General features: G+C 42.7%; 1 protein-coding gene across 11 annotated transcripts in view, besides 1 other annotated feature; it reads right to left on the reverse strand.

Annotated features, from left to right (window-relative positions):
- DAB1 (DAB adaptor protein 1) overlaps positions 1 to 24,679 on the reverse strand; it is a 1,551,949-nt gene that overhangs the window by 263,860 nt on the left and 1,263,410 nt on the right. The window lies entirely within an intron of this gene.
- Positions 21,740 to 22,034: a silencer, noted in NCBI's record as "tiled region #9243; K562 Repressive non-DNase unmatched - State 24:Quies". NCBI's record gives its function as "represses a minimal TATA promoter and a strong SV40 promoter by Sharpr-MPRA in K562 cells {active_cell/tissue: K562}" and the evidence as "EXISTENCE:reporter gene assay evidence [ECO:0000049][PMID:27701403]".

Genomic DNA, 24,679 nt, shown 5'->3' on the forward strand with positions numbered 1-24,679 from the left:
TTGAACTACATTTACCATCTGCTAGCCCAATTACGCAAATGATCCAAATCCTTTTGAATCTGGTTAAATTGTTCGACAGGATTTGCTCGCTCTCCACTTCTAAAATCATCTGTGAACCTGGATGTGACACATCGAGTCTTAAATAGATGGGAGTGGGAAGGTGGGAGGTGGGGGTAGCAATATGTCAGCATGATGTCAGGGAGAGAATGGGAGGCACAGGCTTGGTGAGGAGGGTGAGTTCTGCACCCACCTCCCCAAGAGCTGGGGAGCTAATTGTATCAACCTCTGAATGTGCAGGTTCAGCATCTTTGATGTCTCATTTTCTCATGCAACAAAAAATGAATTCTCTACTTTCATGCCTGCTTGGTAGATTTTTGTGAGGATTAATGAGATGGTTTTGATTAAGCACCTTGGAGAGAAACACTACATAGATCACTGGCATCTGGCTAATGTTACACACTTAGCTGTTGTGAAATATAAACCACAGTCACAACTCCCTGTACCAACATTCTATCCTTTGGTCTCTGCCTTCCCTCTTTGCAACCAGGCCACTGTCTGACCTCTTTGGGTCATTCAGCCAAGAAACTCTAGTAAGACCAGCTGGGGAGAGAGAACACAGGCACAGCCCTTGTCCTCAGAAGACTCACAGTTGAGACCAGGAAGACCAGTGAAGAAGTGACTGAGACACAGTAAGGTGAGCCCTACAGTGAGGGAAGCAGAAGATGCTAAAAGAGTAGGGAGGACAGTTCTGTAATTCAGATTGGCTGGCTGGTCAGGGCATAGGATTCTAGTATGAAAAGTAGCTGAACTAAGTCTTAACCATCAAGTAGGAGCTGGTCTTGAGAGAGGAAGAAGACTATTCCAAGACTGGGTGAACCACATGTGCAAAGACTTAAAAAATGAGGGGCAGCGCAGGTTCCAGAATATTTGAGGCCCTGCTGATTCCTAGTTAGCCGAGGCAAGGCAGAGCAACGTGAGATGCTGCAAAACACAGAGTAAAGGACACACAGTTGAAGGGAGCACAATTTGTAATTTATGTGGGTCATAGCAAAACTAGTGTGCCACAGGAAATAAAGAGGTTATTCATCAGTTTTAAGAGGAACTCTTCCCTCTGCCAATTGCTGCCAATTACTTCTGAGCTTCTGCAACCCTGACATGGGTACTGAATGATTAAAATTAGAAGACATCAAGCACTATCTTAGAAGGTTTTCACAGCTTTCCAGATAATTGTTGTTGTTGTTTTCAACATCAACCTCTATTTCTTCTTATTTGCTAATTTTCTGAGGAAGAGAGATTTTTTAAAAAGCAGGACACAAGTTTACACATTTCATAGTTTGTTCCTGATTGTTAATTCGCAACTGAAATTATCCTTAGAAGACTTTAAGAACCCCACAATATAAACATCAGTGAATTAAATCCTAGGCACATAGAGAACTCGGCCAAGAAGGAGCCTCACCAGCCTGCCCCGCTAGTGTAGAGATTTAGCAATGCAAACCCTTCACCCCACAAATACTCACCAAGGGCAACAATACACCAGGGCTGTGCTCTGTGCTTAGACACAGAGAGAAGAGCATGACACAGTCTCTAGTATCCTTCACGATGATCATAATTCAGTCTCAGTGACCAAACAGTCCACCTAATACTACGAGTGGGTAAAGCCCTCATTCACTGGGTGCTTACTGAGTGTCAGGCAGTAAAGTCAGCTCATTGCTCATATCATCTCATTTCATCTTCATAGTAACCTGTGGGAGGGGATCTCTTGGCAAATCCATTTAACAGATGATAAAACCAAGGCTTCATTTGTCCAACTTAAGCTACACATCCGGATTCCACATCCAGCAGTGAAACATAGAGCCACAAATCAAACATGAGTCAATTTGAATTCAAAGCCTGGTACCTTAACCCCTGAGAACTAGACTGCCTGTTAAGAGTCAATGACATGACACAAACCCCACAGATCCTGAGGCTGCATGGCACAGAAAAGAGCCTTTACAGGATCCTCTAAGTTAATCCCCCATGGTACAGATAAGGCAACTGAGGCACAGAGAAGTCAGGGGACTCACCTAAGGTCACAAAGCAGGTTTGCAGCATCCAGTGCTCTTGGTTTTCTCACACTCAGAGTGATTTCTCCATATACCTTCCCCCATCACTGCATGCAAGCAGGGCCTGGGCAGTTCTCAGGCCTCCCTGTGCCAGCTCTTTCAGTCAGAAGGAGTTGGTTTCTACTGTAGAGCATGGAAGCATGGTTAAAAGAGCTAACTCTGAAGACAACCAGCCTGCGTTCACACTCTAGCTCTGCCATCTTCTGCTGTGGCCTTGGGCAAGTTATTAACCTCTCTGTGCCTCAATTTATCTCCCGCATTTAATGATAATAGCTGTGTGGATTAAATGAGTCACTATGTATAAGGGGCTTAAATCAGTACCTGGAGAGTAGCAAGGACTCAATAATAGTTAGCTACTTTATGATGACCACTCCCACCCTCCCAATTTGTTCTTACACACTGACAAACCCCAGCCCTCTGGAGCCTGCAGCCACCCCACCTGCCACCCCAACCTCCGCAAGAAACACGGTCACGGTGTTTCTTGACCAGTCTTCACTGAAAATCAATCTCCTTGGCCTCTGACATATTTTATCAGACAAACCTATACAGTATCCCTATGCATCCAACAATGAAATGTTTATTTTATAATGAGAGATGCTAGAGGTTAAAAGGCCTTTCAGAGGTCTCAGGGCAATTTCTCCCTCGCCCCAATCCACTTCGCCCCCATAGCATGGTTGACCCCTTACCATTCTTAATAATTTACTTATTTAGCAAGTGTGTTGTTTACTCTGCTCTCTGCTCCCACTGACTGAATGTAAGCTCCATGAAGTCAGTGATCCATGTCTATTTTGGTGTATCCCAACCAGCTAGAATTGATAATACATGTTGGTCTTAGCATGAACCAGACCTACTTCTCCATAGAGTGTGACAGAGAAGGGAGGAAATGCCAAAAGCATCACTCAGCTCAGTACCTGGCACATAGTAAGCACTCAGCACATCTGCTGACTAGTGAATGAAGTATCAGACAGACCACATGCTAGCAGAGTGACTTTGGACAAGTCACTTTCACCTGAGTCAACGTCAACCTCTAAAATGATAATCATACCATGTGCCTCACAGATTGTTATGCCTATTAAATAATAATAAGTGAGCACTAAAAATACTTTTCCAAGATGAAGTGCGGTAAAAAATGTCATTGCTATTATGTATGGAAGACAGGGACACAGATAGTCACTGATTTATTTGTTATTTATCATTCATCTGTCCAGTACCTGCACTGGGCCAATGAAAATAAAAGAGGCACAGCTACTGTCTTTAAGGAGTTTACCGGTTGGAGGAGGGAGGAGAGAAGAAGATTTGGGAGGTAGGGGTCAGCAAGGGATTTCCAGCTGGTCAACAGGGGAAACAATTCTGTCAAACAAGCAAGGAAGAAAAGGATGCAGCTGGCATGGGTTGGAAAGCTACATGTTGGGCAAGTTGAATCTATTAATACCACGAACCACTCTCGTCATTTCGCATTGTTATTCCCATTGTACCATTAAGGAAGCTGATTAAATGACTTCCCCAAGGTCACACAGCTTTCTGTGGCAGAGGCCACATTTGAACCAGGCCTACTGAACTGAACTGAAATCACATCAACTCCAATCATTAGGCAAAACAGTCAAAGAAGAGTTTGGCATCTCTTTGAGAGCTCTTAGCCACATTGGGTGCCATGGTTAATACTGTGAGTTGGAACTTCAGGGCCTAAGGCCTGTGCTCCTACCCCAGATGCTTCCCCCAGAGCCACCCATGAAGATACAGACAGAGCACTGAAACCCACAGTTTGTCCTTACCTGCAGCCCAGCCACCAAATAGGATGTGGCATTGCAATTGGCTGACAAGTCCCCAAAGTCAGTGATTTTACTTACACCTACTTTCCGCTCTTATCACCCGGAGTTCTTTGTGGGAAATTCATTTGAATTTGTAAGAGACTCATTTGCATCCAGACTGATCACTGGTGTGATGCTTCCCTTTAAAAGGTATGGAACCCATAAAGTGAAATGTGATCAAGAGCATCCCAGAGCCTCTTCTGCTGAGTACAATGGGCAGGAGCACAGCATCCTGCTCCCAGCCAGATTCTGAGAGAAGGTCTTTTGGAAGCATTCTCCAATGCTGAAAATATGGGCCCCGTGCCCTAAGGGTACTAAGTGAAAACCCACCTCTCAGGTATCTCAGAACACAGCACCTGGCTGGTGTTGTCAGCCAGGCAGGAAGTATTCCATGAGCACAACACATGGCAAACATTAAGGGTGTGGTGGTATAAGGGGCTATCTTCCCTCAAGGAGCTCATGGACGTGAATGTCTCCAACTAGCATCTGTCTCTTAAAAGCAGTGTGACCTGAGGCAAGTTAGTTAAGCCCCTTGGGTCTAAGTTTCATCATCTATGGAATAAGAAGATAAAATTTTTTTTTTTTTGAGACGGAGTCTCGCTCTGTTGCCCAGGCTGGAGTGCAATGGCACAATCTCGGCTCACTGCATCCTCTGCCTCCTGGGTTCAAGCGATTCTCCTGCCTCAGTCACCTGAGTAGCTGGGATTACAGGTGCCTGCCACCGTGCCAGGCTAAATTTTTTTTGTATTTTTAGTAGAGATGGGGTTTTACCATGCTGACCAGGCTGGTTTCGAACTCCTGACCTCAGGTGATCTGCCCACTTTGGCCTCCCAAAGTGCTGGGATTACAGGCATGAGCCACTGCGCCTGGCTGAAGATACAACTTTTTTACTGAGTTGTTGTGAAGATTAAGTGAAATGACGTATATAAAATGTTTCATGAAATACCTGGACCTAGTAAGCACTTATTAACAGTAGCTGATAATAGCCCCAATGGTGGCTGTGGGAACACGGTATTAGGAGAAGTAGTAGCAGTGGTAGCAGCCACAGCAGTAAAGGATTAGGATGCTATCTGTCCTTTCTGAGTGCTATGAGCCATTAGGAGAAAATGTATCTCTCAAAGGCAAAGTACCTGAAAAAGCTGCAATTCTTCAGGATTGGAGAGAATAGCAAAGGAATAGAGGCTAGACTGGATGTCATTTAGTCGGAGCCAGTTTTGTGCCAATAATTTTCATTACACTTGTTATCTCATTAAATCTTGACAGTTTTTCAAAAGATGAAATTGGGACTAAAAATGGTTAGGTGACTTACTCAAGGTCATAGCTGTTTGATGGTGAGAGTCTGACCCCAAGCTCAGGAGTACCTCATTCCAAACCCACATTCTACCCTGTACCACAAGGGGAAAATTGTAAATATCAGGACTGTGGGCTCCCTGAGAGCTCCTGGAGCCCTCCTGGTATGGAAGGATGGCCTCTTTTCTGCTTCCCAACTCTTGTGTATGAATATCTTCCATATATATCATGCTATACTCTTGACTTTTTGCATTAATCCATTTATTAATATGTCTCCTCAACCCAGCTTCCCAAACTGTGAACTCTTTTTCTTTTCTGTATCTCATTGTATATGTACCTCACATCATAGTATCTAAAACATAATAGACTTAATTCACTAAATATTTATTGTTCACCTACTAGACACAGAAAATTCTTCTAGGCATTTAGACTCCTCAATGAACAAAACACACAAAAAAATTTCCTGCCTTGTTAGAACTTACAGTCTATCACGGAAAACAGATACTCAACAGGAAACATAATAAATAAGTAAATTCAACATATGATCATTGAATAAGGTGAATAAATGAGAGAATGATTGATAGAATGGAGGATGGGTATTCTGATATCTTTCTAATCTGATCATGGTCATATTTTCAAGGACAAATTCCGCATTGGTACAATTTCCGCATACATAGCCCTGATTTCATTTGATCTCACGGCAATCCTGCAGAGGCAATTATAGAATGATGAGCCTCATTTTGTGGAAAGGGAAACTGATGGTCAGTGATGTCCTGTACCTTAAACAAGGTTGAACCCCTAGAGAATGAGGACCCCTGAACATGACGCCTAAACATTGAGAGCAGGTCTCGTGATCTCCCCACCCTCCCAGGCTCTCACTCACCCTGGGTCAATTCCCTACTACCAAAGGTGAGGAAAGTTCAATTTTACTATCTGGCATTTTTCTTTGATTCCCTGATGTCTTGGTCTTAAGATGCTTTCTGATCACCCACTGTATCTGTTCATGGTGCATATATAAATATCTCAGCTGTCAATATCAACAATAGTAATCTCAGAAAAAATAACTGCTTACATTTGTAGTCTTTGTCTGTTTCCAAGGAGTTTTACTGTAACCTCATTTAATCCTCCCCTTAAATAACCCTTAGAAGTAGGAATAGTGGAGGTTTCACCTTGAATTTACCTGAATTTCATTTTGCGGCTTAGAAAACAGATCCAGGGAGATGAGGATACTGGCCAGAGTCCCTTGAGTAGGGAACAGCAGCCCCAGGATGGGATGCCCAGCTCTCCTGGTACCCCAGTGGGCTCCCTCCTCCCATGCGCCCCACACCCAGCCTCCAGACACGGTGAATTTTCTCAAAGCATCTCATTCACCATCTCTCAAACCCTTCTCTCTTCTGGTGAGTCAGCCACTGCCATCCATGTTTCTCATTTTTATGCGCCTGAGATGTGCAGGATGTGCGTTCTTGTGTGGAAGCCTGTAAAATCTATTTATGGACCTAATTGTCAGTTTTCATGAGTGACAGACATACAGTGCTTTGACTACCCAGCCTAATGCGTCTGTATCTGACATTTTAAATAGAACTCTCTTTCCCCCTCCCTGTTCTTTTAGGAAGTAATTTAAGATAGCAGGTATTTTTATATTCATATATCTTTAATTATATCTACACAACTGTCAGAGATTAATGATTTCCTCAATCTGGCTCTTCTTAAAGGAGAATTCAGAACTTACAAAACACTAAAAGCAGCTCAAACGGATGCCGTCAGTAACAAAGACATTCCCAGGCAAGGGGTTTGGCTTTAGTCAAGTTTGAGTTCTCATTGTAGATTAATTTTGTGCAAAGTTTCTATGAATTATTGAAAAACCAGCACTCGTGGACGGCCAATATAAATAGATCTATACATGTAAACCAATAAAAAAGCATGTGACAGACGGAGAGCAGGCTTGGAGTGGAACTAGTCCCTTGCCCCCAGAGAAATAAGCAGCAATAGGTCCCAGGTGGTATCTATGTATTTTGACCCCAAACAAAAATCTCAACTTCTCATGTAAGCAAACTCAGTCTAGAAGCTTGAGATTAGAGAGGACTTCAGAAATAATTTCTCCAGCTCCTCTGCTTGATGCCAGAATTGCTGCTGCAGTAAAATTCACTTACCCATGGCTGTTGAGTGCCACACATGAGGCAGGCCAGGGGCCCATGCTAGGCACAAGGCATGGCTCCTGAAATCAAGGGACTCCCAATTTAGAGGGAATAAAAAACAAGCAGAGTCATCTGCACACAAGGGAAGAACCGCACTGAGGGATACCTACACAAGGCTATCAGAAAAAGGGGAGGCAGGAAAGTGGGCACAAGTTTCCTGCTCACCAAGTATGTGATGTTGGGCAAATTAATTTCTTTTTCTTCATGAGTAAAATAGGATTAATAATATTTTCCCTTCATGAGTAGCAAATGACATCTGGCTTTTGTTTCCCATGCCTGTCTCATTTCTACTGCTCCCCTATATGAACCCTGAGCTCCAGCATCCTGAATTTCTCATCATTCCTCCAAAACACTATGATTCCTTGCATCTCAATACATGGAGTGTCTCAGATGATTCACTCATGAATTCCTTTTGTTTAATAAACTTCTAATCAACTTTTATGATCTAGGCCCAATGCCACCTCCCCTGTGAAGCCTTCTCCAATCTCCCAGGTACATTTATCATTCCTTTAATCCCTGGCAAATACCTTTATAAAGGTGCTTATCATACTGGACTACAGCAATTTTGTTATCTATCCTCACAACGAGTTTGTGTTTCAAGAAACACTGTTTTATATTTAATATCCTCAGGGTCTGGCTACTGACTGTCCAATGGCAGACAGGTACTTAATAAATTAATGAAATGAATGAATACTGAATGAATGGATATATGATCAAAGAAATGATGAGCAATATGTATAAATACTTAGTAAACTATAATAAAAGAAGCTCCTGTTTAATGAATGATACCCTGTCCCCGATGCAGGGGTAGGTTCATATAATTCTATCATCCACAACAATTCCACAAAATAGACTTGCTCTAAGTAAATTTATGGTATGGGCACTGAACAATCTCAACTGATGTCAGTGACACACCATGTCAGCCCTTTAGATACTGTAGTGGGCTAAATGGTGGTCCCAAAAAGGTACTGTCATGTCCTAATCTACCAATCCTATGAATGTGAACAAATTTGGAAAAAGATATAATTCTGCAGGTGTAATTAAATTAAGAATCTTGAGATGAAAGATCATCCTGGATTATTCTGGTAGGCCTTAAGTCCAATAATAAGTGTTCTCATAAGAGACACATAGAGAAGGCTACGTGAAGGCAGAGCAGAAAGAGATGCAACCACCAGCCAAGGAATGCCAGTGGCCACCGAGAGCAGGAAGAGGCAGAGAGCAAAGAGCTTCCACAGGGAGTGAGTGCAACCCTGCCCACACTGTGATGTGGACTTCTGGCCTCCAGAACGCTGAGAAAGTACATTTCTGTTATTTTAAGCCACTCAGTTTGTGATAATGTGTTACAACAGCCTCAGGAAATGAACACGGAGAGATATTTCAATCTCTGTCATAAAGACAAGGAAGCTGAAGTTGAGAGAGGAAGTGTTTTCTCTAAGCTATGAGATTCAGATCTGAACCTGTCTTATGCCGAAGAAGACTTCATACTGTCTGTGGTATCATAATCCCTCCCAAGGGCAGCCTCTGGAGAAAGATGCCTCCAGCACTTCGCAGCCCGAGTACCTGAAACATACAGGTGCCCAGGTTCTACCTCTGGTTCTACCTTTCTGAATTTTGGGGCACCTGTGCTTTTGTTTTTGTTTTTTGACAGATGCTTCAGGTCATTGCACTACACGGTAGGACTGAGGTCCAGAGCACCAAAGGGCATGGGTTTTACTCTTATGGTATTGGATAAATGCCCACTCCAAAACACATATCGGGAAACACAGAAGGGAAAATAACAAGAACCAAACCCCAACTTGACAGCTGGGCTCTCTGTCTTTTCCATGGGTATCCCACGCTCCCCCATGCTGCTGTGCTATGAGAGCGGAGAGTGGGAAAACAATTAAATATAAGAGTTGGTTCTAAACCAAAGCCATTCCAACTCCCCACAGGGTTTATTAAATCATTTATAATTCCAAGAAGCTGAAGTAAATATTTAATATTTGATTCCTAATCCATAAATATTTACATGTAGGGATTTCTCCATGTTCAACAAGCCCACCAGAGGTTTTACACTTTTAGCAAGTGTGACTAATGAAACCTTACAATTCCCTACCCCAAAGCAAGGAGCATCTGGCCACTCCCTCAAGAATTCTGATGCAGGGAACAGGCGGTGTGCACCCGGAGTGCAGCCACGATCACTGAGAACTGTTCAAGGATTCAGCTTTGACAATCACTCTGGGGAAGAGAAAGAAATAGCGACAGAAACAGAAAACAAAAAACTGATGATGCTGCTGCAAAAGAAGGACCTTCCAAAGGTTGCCGTGATATTTTCTGTTTGTTAACCTTATGGCAATTAACATTTAAAGTGGGCTTCCAATGTGGAAATATTGATATAATGTCACTAGAAAATCCAGATAACTCTTTGTGAATCCTCCTTTAAAAGTCCCAGAATGATACTGGCAGTCTCAATTCATCCAACCCATTCCAGTGAGATATATAATTGTATTTATTAAGTTTATTTCCTTTAATAAGTGTGTGACATCCTGGTAGGAGGTGAAAAATAAAAAAACCAGGTTTCTTCCCTGAGAGCACCTTACTCTCTTCCTAAATGACTTGTAATAAAATAAGGAGAGCTGTCAGTCATTAAATACCTTCTATGTGCCAAGCCCTCTATTAGGTTCCATACATACATAATTCTAATTCTAAAATCCCAATTTTATGAGTGAATACAGAGGCTTCACAGGTTAAGTAGCTTGCGGAGCTAGGATTTAAACACAGATGATCTGTCAAGGGCCAGTCAGGCAAACTGAGCACTTGCCAGCTATTCACAGAATTTAATGTAAGGAACCTTTACAATGGTGTTGGAGAAGTTGAAAAGTCAGGGAAAGAGGAAGTGATCCAAGGATTAGCAAGAGCAGGAAGGTGCTACCAGCCCTGGGATTAGAGCAACAAAAGAAGTAGGTGCCATGACCGAGCCAGGGAGATGGGGCCACTGGAAGGTGGCTGGGGCTGTGGTGGAGTTACTTTAGAGAGATCGAGAGAGGGCAGCCACCTGTGGGAATTGGATCCACAGAGGAGATACAGCCACTGTCAGAGCCACAACCGGAAGTGGAGAGGTAGAAGTGCTGGACTTCTACCTTTGGCCCAACCTCCAGTCTCCCACCAGCACCTCCCATTTGTTGAGCTGACCCCCAATCCCCTTGTCAGGAGAGCACAGCAAAATAGAGTTCCAGCTCCCTGGGATATACAGAAAGCCTTGCCATGCAGGGATGGAGGGTGAATCTGAGTGACAAGCACCCCAGACCTGTCTAACTTCTCAGCCCTTGTTCTTGCTGACAGAAGAATTCACCCCAATCAGAAGAAGCTGGGATCCCATCTCAAAGATGCCACTGGTTTACCCTGTGGTCTCAAGCAAGACATTCATACTCTGTGGCTCTCTTTGGTAAGAGCCCCCTGAAGCTGTCACCCCCCTCCCTGGCCACTCACAGAACAAATATGAAGGTCAGGCAGGTGGTTCAATGAGGCCCTACGTAGGTATGTCCAGGGGCGTCTCTGCTTACCTGAACCCATGCACAGGTTTTCTTTAACTTAACAATGTAGGATATTCAGATTTACGCCCTCCTCCACTCCTTTCTGAATACTCCCTCCAACCTCTCACCCTGAGATGCACTTTACTTCACCCCAACTTGCTTAACTCTTTTTCTCCCGAGAATATTTTCCAGACACCAGGGAGATGAGGAGGATTTCATGTTAGGGAGTGACTGGCAGGTGGGGGAGAGGAAGGTTGGAGAGGGACTGAGGTTGTTGCCCGGTAATCCTCCCTAAATCATGTATGGCAGGAGGTAGCAGACAATCATTTCCTGTGACTGAGACAAGATCAAAGGATTAAGAGGTTTTGGGCAAAGAACGCTTGGCATTTGGTCACGAGAATTACAAAAGTCGATCTACTGAAAAGAACAGCTTGCTAGGTGAACGTCTGACAATACAGCCTGGGATCCCTTTGAAAAGCCCGAGCTCTTTCAGGGTGAAAGGCAAAGGAGAGCCCGAGCACTGGATGTCTGCCCACAAAAGCTTCTGCCACATCCCAGAGCTACAGACAAGCTCCTCTCCAAACATGCCCTCTTCCTCCTGCACGCCACTCTGAGAGATGCGTGGTTACTGTCTGAGCCTTCCAAGTCTTCTACTAATAGTGATGGCATCATCCACCATTTAGTGAGCTCTGAGCCCATGCTGGGCATTCAAATACTCTGCATGCCATATTGCATTATTCTTCATAAGAGCCCTGTGGAACAGACAGTAGTATTTTTACTTTATAAATTAATAGACTGAGATGTGGGTATCAAACAATTTATTTAAAGTTACTCCATTAATTAAAAAGTTGCTAAGAATACCTATGTGTTTAGTACTTACCATGTGACAGACAGCATACTAAGTGCTTCATAGCTATGCCCAAAACCATAAGAGGCATTGGTCTTTCTTCCCTATCACAGATGAAGGACCAGAGTCTGAGAGAGAAGTAAATCGCCCATATTCACCACATTCAGATGTGGGAGAAGCAAGGTTCAAATCCAGGTCTCTTTCCTGCTAAAGCTCTTAAATACTCTTCATTATTTGTCCATTCACTCATTCAACAAATACTTACTGAGCACTTACTAGGTGCTGGACACTGACGTAGGTGCTGGTGACCCTGCAATGAACACAGGAGTGTCCTCATAGAGTGGACACTTTCATCTGTGATACTGCATTGTGTTGAGGGAGCCTCCCTCCACCAATACTCACTGAGCACCTATTAGTGCCAGGCACCTTGCTTGGCCCTATCACACAGCTCCTACAAGTTTAGGATTCAAACTTGGGCCTGTTGGAAACATCATACCTGAGCCACCCCCACAACCCAGACCATCATCTGTAATGAGCAGGGACTGGGGTGGGTGAGGGAGTGTGGGTACAGTATAAGTCCAAGTTTCCAAAGACTTTCACTCCATAATCTCTAGGTCAGTCACCCAAAGTATAAAAGTTGGAAGACGCTAATGCAAAAATGCCTCTGTAAGCCTTTCCCCAGAAAGGTTAAACCTGACACCATCCAGTTGGTGTAAGCAGCTCAAAAGATGCAGGCTGGAGTGCTAAGTGAACAGGTGCCAGCTCAGCTCATTAAGTCCCCCAAGTTTTCATCTTTCCCAAGCTAATTGGCATGAACACATAGGGTGCCGGATGGCTATTAAGTGGATAGCTGCAGCAGGCTCTTTAAGATTCAAAATCTAAAGGAGTTTGGGATCAAAGAAACAGAACATGACTGTATGTGAAAAGCTGCACTGGAACTCTGCCTCTGTCCTCACTGGTGTTTACTGTATTTTGAAGGAAAAACAACTGGTTTTGGCAGGATGACTGCTTCGTGTTGCCACTGGGAAGTACTTCTCATTGTGTGGTGCAATTATTTGTCTGTTTCCCTGATGAAACTCACTTCCTGTAAAGACTTACTGAACACCGACTTTGCGACAGGCATCGGGTTCCAGGTTGGGAAGCACAGCTTCACAGGGTTGGTGAAGAACTGGTTCCCATCCCTGCCCTCAGGGGACATGGTCTGGTAGAGAGACAGACATAGGGATGAGGCAAGTACAGTACAGCACACTGTGAGAGCTACTGTACTAGAGGTCAGTATCCAAGTAGCCCCGCGGAGGGCCTGATTATCTGTGTTTGGCTGGGTCTAGGAAGGCTTCCTGGAGGAAGTGCCATCTAGGCTGATTTTTGTTTGGTAGTTGTACCTGTTCAGTACGTGCCTCACCCTTCCTACCAATCATCCACAGGGTGGGCTGTAATCACTACTGTCACACTGATTGTTCCAAACTCTTGAATAGACTATAGGTGGCCACCATCAGAGCTGGGCTGAGCTTTACAGATTTTCACTGTCTAGAATCTGGAACTGGAACCCTGTAACTCAGGTGCAGATGGGATCTTGGATGGAGAAGCTGGCCACAAGCACAGTGACAAACAAAGGCAAGTCTGAACACAGGGAGAAAGAAGCATGAAGCAGGTGTCTGAAAAGAGCAAAGATAAATAACTCTGGAGAGACTCCTGAAGGGAGATGTTGGCGTTTGATTTTCTAGTGCGGGGCTCCAAGCCCTCAGGAGAGCCAGCTTTCCAGATTGCTTTTTTCATGAGTGGGTTACATTCTAAACAACTGCATGATTCCAGAGGAGGCCAATGTGAAGGCTGAGCATTCAGCCTTAAAGCCATAAAGTAGAACCACACGCCTGGAGACCATTCAAGTGTTGAGCTGTAACTTCTTAAAAGGCAGGAAAGCTGAAGTGGGTGTCTCCTGTATTGCCACATCTAGCACAGAGCCAGGCAGGATGGATGCGCATCCCACACAACATTGCACATCCCACTTCTCACAAACTTTAGAGTCCCAAGAATCAGCCTTGCTGCCTGGGCTTTGGTTTTCTCATAGTAACAATAGCAGTAAGCTAGCACTTCACTAAATATACACCAAACTGAGGCACTTACATACATGATTTCATCTAGTCTAAATTGTCTCTCTGAGAGATGGGTCCTATCACTCCTATCTTATGTGTTAGGAAATGGAGGCTTAGAGGATTTGGAACCTGCTCCAGGCCACATAGCTTAATAAATAAATGGCAGACTGACTGATCAACTTGTAACTCTAAAGACAGTAATGCAATTACTGGGCTCTGAAGAATACCTACCTCACTGGTTGTTGTGTTAAGAGAGTGAGTTTAAATAAGGCTCCTACACACGTGGCTGGCCATCAGAGAGGTGTTCAAGAAATACAACTTTCAGCCTTCCTAGCACAGTGGGTTGGGTGTGGGGCGGGCAGTAGGGGTCAGGATAGGCTGGTGGCAAGATGAGCATTCTCCTTTGTTTGTGATAAGAAGAAATAAGAAAAGTGTGGGAAGAATACCAGGGCTTCCCTCTTGGGCTATCAATGTAATAGCTGCTTTCTGTTCCCCCCCATTTCAGCCCTTGCAAACTATGAAAGGTCAAAATGTTCTGGAAATTTCTGGGCCAAGTGACCAAAGACTCTGGGACCTCAACTTCTATTTGCACCACCTTTTAACCCATCTTTGCCTATGTGGCATGGGCTGGCATGAGAAAAGAAATATAACTGGTCAGTTTCCACCAGATGGTAGTGAATTGAAGTGAGAGGGGATGTCTTATGGCAACTTATGATATTTGAGTATTTTGAGTATCCATTTGTTTTAATGTGGGAGTCACGAGAATGCACCTCGCCAACCTCCCCTAACAGGGAAAGGAACTGACAAAGCATTCTACCTGCTACATTCAGACACCCTTCTTCATGTCTGCAAGAGGAACATGTTTCCCATAGGCCACTCCCAGCCAGTGACAAAGCAGGGCAGGATTCTCAGGCAGGCCCTTTCCCAGGAGACAGGGAACTCCTCTGCTAAGCAACTTTGGCTTAAGTACTCCAATAAGACCTGGCTGAAGTTGCCTTAGGACAGCGCCAACATCTAAGATGCATCCACCAAGCCTGACTGCCTGCCTGCCTGCCTGCCTGCCTGCCTGCCTTCCTTCCTTCCTTCCTTCCTTCCTTCCTTCCTTCCTTCCTTCCTTCCTTCCTTCCTTCCCTCCCTCCCTCCCTCCCTCCCTCCCTCCCTCCCTGTCTTCTCCACTCGAGTCAAACATGCATTGTGGTCTGATGGCTCCCCTAGCCGCCCCTGGCTGCTTCCCTATTTTTCCTCACTGACATGAGAATGTCTTTTCCTCCCCTGTCCTCACCTCCTATGTTTGACTGGAATCTCACCAGCCCTTGACTGCTCCATCTACTGTTGACAATGGAGCCTAGTGAGTCGAGACTGAACAGAAAGAAGACCTTCAAGGCCCTGCTGGAAAGGAAAAGTCTGACCCAGGGCCAGCGGTGAGTCCACTTCCTACACATAGGCCTTCCAGATGCAAACCTCACCCTATTAATTTTCCTCACTGAAGTTATTGGGTACCACAGGCATTTTCTGAAATGTACCAACCTCGGCATTTGGCTTCAGAAGGATTTTAGAGATGATTTCACCCATCGAGATGGATAATCCTTCAGCTTTGAAATGGAAGATCATAATGCTTTGCCAATCTGCTCTGATCCCAGAGAAAATGGACTGATAAAAGAAGATGATTTCAAGGTTTAAAGCCACCCTCTTCTTCTAACCCAATCTGTTAAAAATTAAAACTCAGTAAGGCATAGTGAGAAGGCTTTCCAACCTGTCATTCTTATAAAGCAGAGATACTAAATAGCCCGCAAATTATCTTACTGAAAATAAGATAGAGGCTAGTGTGGTAGACAATGTTCTAAGTCAGAGGCTGATGCTTCACCACTTGTTCAGCTGTGGGCCCTGAGCAAGTTGCCTCCCACAAATTTCAGTTTCCTCTTTTAAAAATCCAGACGAGTGTCTTATATAAGTTAAGACAAAAAACACATAGAAGAGTGTCTGATGCATAGTAAGCGCTCAATAAATACTAGCCATCACAATAGTACCATATTGTTATTGGTTTTTTCATGCAGATTAACTGAAATAACATTATCTGGCATATTCCAGGCTTTCAGTGATTTTCTTTTTGTTTTGAGATGGAGTCTTGCTCTGTTGCCCAGGCTGGAGTGCAGCTGCGCCATCTCAGCTCACCGCAACCTCTGCCTCCTGGGCTCAAGCGATTCTCCTGCCTCAGCATCCCAAGTAGCTGGGACTACAGGCGAGCACCACCACGCCTGACTAATTTTTTGTATTTTTAGTAGAGATGGGGTCTCACCATGTTGGCCAGGCTGGTCTCGAGCTCCTGACCTCAGGTGATCTGCCCGCCTTGGCCTCCCAAAGAGCTGGGATTACATGTGTGAGCCACCGCGCTCAGCCAAATTTTTTTTTTTTTTTTTAATCTAAGCCATGGGCTTAACTGCTTAAAAAAAAATTGTCTTATGCAAGTTTCCTCTTTAAGAGGCAAGGGAGCATAAGGAGGAGGAAGAGAACTAATATGTAAGCAAGGTCTAGAATAGGTGTTTGTCTTAATTTCCTTCCAAGATCTTTATTGCATTTTTGTTTGATTGCAAGCAGTTCTGATCCTTCTGATGGATATGTGTGCTGTGCTCTCAAGAAGATAAAGAGAAAAGGATAGAGAGAAAAAGAGAGAGAGAATATAAAACTATATACTCACAAGCAATGATGGATGCCAAGGACAGAAAATTTCCAGTAGACCTGGCCTAAAAATTGTCATTTAAATTTGCAATTTAAAAACACTGTCTGACTTTTTGATTTAGCTGACTGTATAGGAGAGACAAATAATGGAATCCTAATAAGCAATGTTTAAATGACATCTCCAGTCTCCCAGACAGAGAGGGCGGCAGTAGAATTCTAAGAAGAGAATATAAATCTACCAAGAATAGGAAAGATGACCAGAACTAAATAGTTGCACTAATCACTTGATGACAGATATTAGAAAAATGTATTTTTAGCTGTTTAAAATTTGAATCCTTTACAGAAGAAGGGTTGGTTATCAGCTAAAAACCCCTAAAGTCATTGTGAGGGGACAAAACTAAGCTCTATTTTTACATTTCATCGCATTAAAACAGATGAACCAAAAAATCAAGACACCAGGACAACATATTAAAGTTGATAAGCTGAGGTTAAAAGATCTGAACAGCAAAGCACACTCCGGTTCACAGCCATTCATTGGCAAATCTTAATTCCCGTGCTTTACTAGAGTGGTGGTCCCCAGTGGTGACATGCCCGCAAAGGGGAGCCCACTCCAAAGTCTCAGTTTCTTCTCACTACAGGAGAACAAATTAGCATCTTCCCCTGCCCGCAAAACACAGAAGATAAACACTGTATCCGTTCAAGGATGAAAATAGAAATGAACCAACAACTGCTAAAAGCAGTTCTGTAACACCACAGCTTAAGCAAGATTTGACAAATTTGGGAATGCACCAATAAAAATGGCAACAATGACAGAAAGATTGAGAGAGAGGTTTTGTGAGAAAAAGCTAAAGAAAATTAGATCACTTAGCAAAATGATAATATTGCAAAAAGTTTATGATATGAGAATAGCTTAAATTGTGAGGTTTAGTGAAAAAGTAATACAGAATTAAATACACAGAAGGATCAGACAGGATGTCATGTGTTTGCACGCTTGTGTGCACACAGTAGTGTGCAGGAGAAAAATACTGAAAGAAAATATACCTAAGTGTTAACTGTTCTCACTCATCGCCAGGACATAATTTCAGAATCCTCTCCATAGCGCTCAAGGCAGCCATTAAAATCGACCAGGATTGGCAAATTACACAAAATCTATTTGCAATCTATAACTTTGTGAGCAGGAGGAGAAACTGCTGTAATCATTACTTCAAAACATCAAAGAAAAACTACTTGAATATAAATTACTGATTATAAGTAAATGTAGGCCAAAGGCCAATGAATTACCTATTTAACATAGAATACTGTTCAACAAATGTTTAGTGAACACATATTATGCACCTGGCCCTATGCATAACACGAAATGAATAAAATATGTTTGTAATGTGAGGTAGCTTTTACTCTAGAAGAGGCAGGAACAAGTTATTGTCCAGCAAGATTTAGGATCTGCTAGTCTTCCTTTCACGGGAGGATAGGGTAGGATTTGTTTTTCACAAGTGGGGGTTTACAGATCTTCAATAACAGGAGATATTTCACAAAGTAACTATGGAACTAAAAATCATAAATAAATCTGAACCCCAAGAATGTTTATTTAAATCTCACAACCTCTGGGAAGTCCTTGGATAGTTGGTTGTCTCTGCTAAGTGATTTCAACTTACTATAATAAACTATAATTGTTTCTTATTTGTCTCTCTTTCTTATTAGATTTTAAGTTCCTTGAACTCAGGACTTCTCCATAATCTTCTGTGGCCAGCACTCTGCCAGGTTTTGAAAAATGCTCAAAAATTGAATGAAGGAAAGGTGGAAGGAAAGAGGGAGGAAGGAAAAGAAAAGAAGGGAAGAAAGGAAGGAATTCAAAGAACTCTGTAATCATCACTTAGCCCTTAACAAAATTACCATGTTGACAATTCTTGATTTGACTAGCATCTCTTGATCACCTATGACGTGCTAAAGTCCGCGATAGGCACCTTCACACATGTACTCAGCAGTTTCATTTTCCACGATTTTGAACTCCAACCAGGAAGGTATTTATTAGAAGCTACTATGGTCAACAAAGTATCGATTTTGAAACCAGACTGCTTGGGTTTAAATCCTAACTCTGCTAGTTTCTAGCTGTGGGCAGGATACTAAATCTCTATGACTCTATTCATATAAAATATGAAAATAAACTGAGAGTAATATTTAAAATGCCTGTACATTAGTCTTCTCCCTATGAAAACGGTTTTTTTTCCTACAAACATATATATCATGTATCTTCTAGTATTTAATCACAGCCTCAACCTGACCAAAAGCCACTGGGCACTGGCTAAGACAGCAGAAACAAGTCTTGCAGAGCCTCAAGAAGCAAGGGCTAAAAGAGACCTTAGCAAGTTGCACGATTCCCACCTGCTATCAAGCATCAAGCTACCTTTCATAAGACCAACCTGATTTCAGCTCTCATGACTATCCATCACTGCTTCAGAATGACATTCAATGTCTTTAGCACATGCTTCTGTATCACTGTTAATAAGGGATATGGGCATGATCATTTTCCCAATGATAGGGGTCCTGATCCTTTTTAGGATCACATAATAAGAACATTTTTCATTGTTGGAGATAATTCTCCTTCCCGTGCACATTTGTCAAAGGCAGTTTCCAACAGTCCCGTACATCATCCTGAAATACATGATAAGATTCAGGTCTGCCATTCATCATCTACTGGGCTTCTTCCAGTGCAAGTCCCAGCATGGTGTGTCTTGCCTCTGGTTTAACAATTAGAATGCAAGTTCTCCCTACAGCAGTATTGCCAGCCAGGGAAAGCTGAAAGACTCAAGTGATGATAGTCCCAAATTTAAGGAATGTGAATCTGCAATGATGACATATAAATCCTTTATAAAGGTAAATTGCATCTGTAGCTACCATTTTACAACAGGAACCAGACCCCTAGGAAGTGAGCTTTCACTGGGGTTTTATTTGATGGTCTCTGCTGGGAAACAGCATGGTGTAGCGGAAAGAGCTTGTGCTTTGAATCAGATCCAAATTAAAATACCTGTCCTTCTATTTACACGATGGGTGACATTGAACATAATCTTAACTTATCTGAGTATGCTTTCTCATCTGTAAAATGGGAGTATTATCAAACTCATAATTCTCTTGTGAAGATTTTAAAAGTTATTGTATTCCCTCCCTGGCATTTAGTAGTCACATCATTAATATCATTTCCCACATTCCACTGATAACTCTTTACTTCTCTTCCTCCCAGCTTTCAGATGATATAATGATAGAAAAGACACAGTCCTTGTCAATAAGACTCAGCTGAACACACAATATAGAAGGGAAGAAAGGGTTATAAAGCGGAATCCTAATGAACAGAAGAAAGGAATAAGAGCTTCATCTGGAGTGAAAACAGTACACTGAGAATCACAAGGCTTAATTCCATGGAAGGAGAGGGATTCTGAGGAGGAGCTCTATGGCAGTGCTATCTGAGCTATGTCTCAGAGGAGCAGGAGGACTTTGACAGGCCAAAAAGAGAGAGGGGAACTTCTTCCAGGCTGAGAGGAGAGCTGAAGCAAATCCATGCATGCTCAAAGGGGGGCAAGCAAGGCGATGTGTTCAAATTGCGCAAGGTGTTTAGAAGGGACACACAACATTTGCTGTATTGATTAGTGAGACAGAACTGCAGGGCCCTTACAGCACTGACTTTGTGTCGTCTTTCCAGCTTCTCACCTTCCTCATCTGTAAACCTGAGATTTTTAAAAAGCAGCTACCTCATAGGAATGATCTGAATGAGAAAACAGATATAAAGGTTTGAATACATTGCCTGATACTTAGCAATTGCTGACAGATAGTAGCTACCTTCATCACCAGCATCCTCGTTATTATTTCAGGTTTGGGGATGCCCGCTGGGAGGTGAACTAGGCTGATGATATTATTCATAGATTTGGGGAATTTGCGAAATTTCCTGGTCTTCACTTTTACAGTGCTTGCTCCAAATTAAGAGATAGAAATGATGTTTTCCTTTAATATAACATTATATCTTCCATATCCATGGGGATTAGCTCCAGGATCTCCATAGATAACAAAATCTAAAGATATTCAAGTTCTTTATATAAAATGGCATAGTATTTGCATACAACCTATGTAATCCTGTAGTATACTTTAAATCATCTCTAGATTACTCGTAATACCTAATGCAAAGAAAATGCTATGTAATAGCTATTATACTTGCATTTTAAAATTTGTATTATTTTTTAATTGTTGTATTTTTTGCCTAATATTTTCTATCCAATGTTGGTTGAATCCATGGATGCAGAACCTCAGATATGGAGGGTGGCTGACTTTATATCCAAGAGGAATGAAAGCAGGGTCTCGAATAGATAGCTGTATACTCATTTCATACCAGCATCATTCACAATAGCCAAGAGGTGGAGGCAGCCCAAATGTCCACTGATGGATGAATGGATAAACAACCTCAGATGGAAAACACACACAGTTGGCCCTCCATAGCCTCAGGATTTTATCCACAGTTGGTTGAATACACAGATGTGAAACCCACAGTCACAAAGGGCTGATTGTACATTTCAATTTATACATAGTCAAAATCCTTCAAGTTCATTTTCACTTTACCTTTTTATATCTAGGAAATGTTTCCTTCTCAATCATGTGGAGACTTGTGCATGACAACCTTCTGCAAGTCACAGACAAGAGATGTGAAGTGAAGGGGCTTCCCATGGCTTTTTAACTTCTTTTCTAACTATACAACATATTTTATCATCATTCCCTCCTCTTGCTGAGGCCATCTCAACCTAAAGGCATTACTATTGGAACCTGTAGGAGGACATCTTTCAGTGCAAGCACAACTTAGTATTTGGTAAGAGGACATATCATTCAGTGGAGAGAAGTTTAGTCCAGGGTTAAGAACGTGGACAGGCTCTGGGGTTAGAAAGATCTGTGTGTAAATGGGTCCCTTTACCTGTGTGACCTCAAGTAAGCCATGCACCTCTCTGAGCCTCAGTTGCCTCTTACACAGAATGAGAATACTTGTCTAAAGGCTATTTTCAAGCTTAAATGAGAAAACATGGACACAAGGACACATGAACAATAGATATTGGTTCCTCCTTCACCTCTGCTCTTGCCTCTCCTCTGCCTTTGATCTATGTGTGTTCTTTTGATGGACTGCAGAAACACTCAGCCTTGCAAACATGTGTACTCTGACCATCCTAGAAGGTGTGTTGCAATAGGAGATTGCTGAAATCTCAGCACACCTGGGAACATTGTCTGCTCAGCAAACTTACACAAATAATGAAATCCCATCCTCTGAGTCATTTACTGACTATCTGCAAAGACAAAGACTCTCCAGCTCCGTGAAAGAGCATATACGTAACCAGACTCACAGCATATCAAGGACTCAGAGGGCTAATGTGAAGAGCTTTGTTCTTCCAAACATAAAAATTCAGGCCCAGTCACTGCCAGAGGCAGCACACTGAGCTTAATGAAGCAGTGGGATGAACTAATATGGCAAATCTTATAGCTCTTACTACCAATATGGCCTACATCACGGTAAATTACAGCACCAGACATGATTGGACACACATCACAAAAGGAGAAGTAGCTGTCTGAATTGTAGGAATTTTGAATGCCACATAATAAGAATCTCAAGAGCCAACTCTTAGGGGAGATTTTTTTAAATTTTTTTTCTCCTTGTGCAAATAATTCTCCCCCACATTATATAATAATTAATTCAACAAACATTTACTGATTACCTACCTTGTGCCAAGTGTACCAGGTGAGGAACTCATAGTTAATGGCATAGCATAGAAAAAAGAAAAATAATTATAGAAAAAATGGGGAAAGTGTGATAATTTTAGTAAGTACAGGGTGCTGTGAGACTCCTTAGAATCCAGGGGACTCAGGTGAGATTTTTCGTGGCCGTAAGTTCATTCATTTACTCCCTTATTCATTCAATAAATATTGCTGCATACCTACACTTTTCAACACTGTCCTTAGTGGCAGAACTAAAGTGGCTGAAAAAACAGACACAGTCCCTGTCCTCACAGATCTCCCAGCCTAGTGAGTGATAAAGAGAATAAACCTTATTTAAATAATGGAGAAAATGCAAAGTGGTTGAGAGCACACAGCATGGTCATGACCCACAACTGGGGGGCATGTGGGTGGGTTGCAGTGGGTCACCAAAGCATTTCTGGAGAAAAGTAATCTTTAACTTGAGACTAAAGAATACATGGAGTTAGCTTTGAAACAAATACAGAAAAAATGTATTCCCAGGAGAAGAAAAAACATGTACAAAACCCCACGTGTAAAAAATCAACATGGTAGGGTCAGGGAACTGCAATTGATTCAGTGGGACCACTCGGTGACGTATGATTGGCAAGAGTGGTGAGGAATGCGCCTGGACAGATAAGAAGGGGTCAGACCAGACAGCACCTCTCTGATGCCATGATAAGCAGTGTGGACTTTTTCCTGAGGGCAGGAGGAGCCACTCACTGAAGGGTTTTATGCAGGAGTGTGATCTGATTAAATCTCCGCATTAGTGAGCAGTGCTGAGAATGGCTTGGAGATGGACAGCAGTGAAAACCTGAAAACCATTTAGGAGGGTGCTAGGATGATCCAGATGAGAGATGAAGGTAGCCTGAACTACCTTCGGGGACGGGGGCCAGTGGGGAAGAAGGAATGAATGGATTTGAAAGATATGTAGAAGCTCACATGAATTGATAATCAGTGATTAATTAATTGAGGATGTTAGGAAACTCACAATGTTAACCAAAAGGTGACTGTAATCCTAGCACTTTGGGAGGCTGAGGCAGGCCGATTAGCTGAGGTCAGAAGTTCAAGACCAGCCTGGCCAACATGGCGAAACCCCATCTCTACTAAAAATATAAAAAATTAGCTGGGTGCAGTGACATGCACCTGTAATCCCAGCTACTCAGGAGGCTAAGGCAGGAGAATCGCTTGAACCTGGGAGGCAGACATTGCAGTGAGCTGAGATCACACCACTGCACTCCAGCCTGGGTGACAGAGCAAGCCTTCTTCTCAAAAAAAAAAAAAAAAAAAAAAAAAAAAAACAGGTGACTGAGTTTTGAAGGATGAACAGGAGTCGCCAAGAGCAAGTGCATAGGGTAAGAGAGCTATCCAAGGTGAAATCGCAGTCTGCACAAAAGCCACAGAGGTGAGACCTGGGACCTGAAGCTTAGTGTGGCTTAGGGTGGGAGCAAGCGGAGTGACAGAAAAGGAGATGGGAACCACATTTCAAAGGGCTTGATGTATTGTCCTGTGGTGTATGCTGCCAGGGTTACAGTACAAGTTCAAGGAGGAAAAGAGCTATGTAGGTGAGTTTGGAGAAAGCCTGACTTCTAGCAAGGGAACCAGTTAGAACAAGGTGCTGAACTAAGTCACCAATTAAACCTGAAACAGTTTATCTTCAGTGAATGACCACATCGAGTGAAGTGTCCTGTAATAAATTCATGACCGTGTGACCACAGAGAATACAGAAGTCTCTTTTCACCACAGCACATCATATGATCAGTCTTACCATAAAGAAGTAAACTGCTTGGCCCCAAAACATTACTCTCTGCCTCCAAACCCTTTGGCCCAAGAGCTCTACTGATCAAGTTCAGAAAAATTTATCTTTTCTTATAATTAAATCCTTGGTTTTGAATTTCTAAAGCTTACAAATCACAGAGTTCATATAGAATGATTAGCTCACCAAAACCCTGCCAAGACAGAACAGCACCATAAATTTACATGATGTAGCTAATCAGTTTCTATGCTCCCATCTCCCCAGAAGAGTATAGCCCCTATAATTTTTTTCACATTCTCCAACTCTCCAGCATCAAGCCACAGGGCAAACCCACAGAATACATTCAGGGAAGATAGTACAGACTTCAGCACTGCTAAGACCTAGTGTATGGCAACTCAGACAGACAAGCCCCATGACCTGGGGCAAGTCTCTTGACCTCTGCAAACATTATTTTCTTATGTATTCAATGGGATGATGTAAGAGTTAGGCTTATTAGGGAAAATTTGTCTAAAATGGCTCATATGCAGGAAGCATACATGATGGCTATTAGTAAATCTTTGTAGCTTGACAACATGGTCCATTTTCCTTTGTACTTCTTATTCATTCCCTCAGTTATTCTTGGAGCAAGTATCCATTTGAAGAGGGACAA

This window comes from Homo sapiens, chromosome 1 (assembly GCF_000001405.40).
Source record: "Homo sapiens chromosome 1, GRCh38.p14 Primary Assembly".
Classification (NCBI taxonomy): domain Eukaryota; kingdom Metazoa; phylum Chordata; class Mammalia; order Primates; family Hominidae; genus Homo; species Homo sapiens.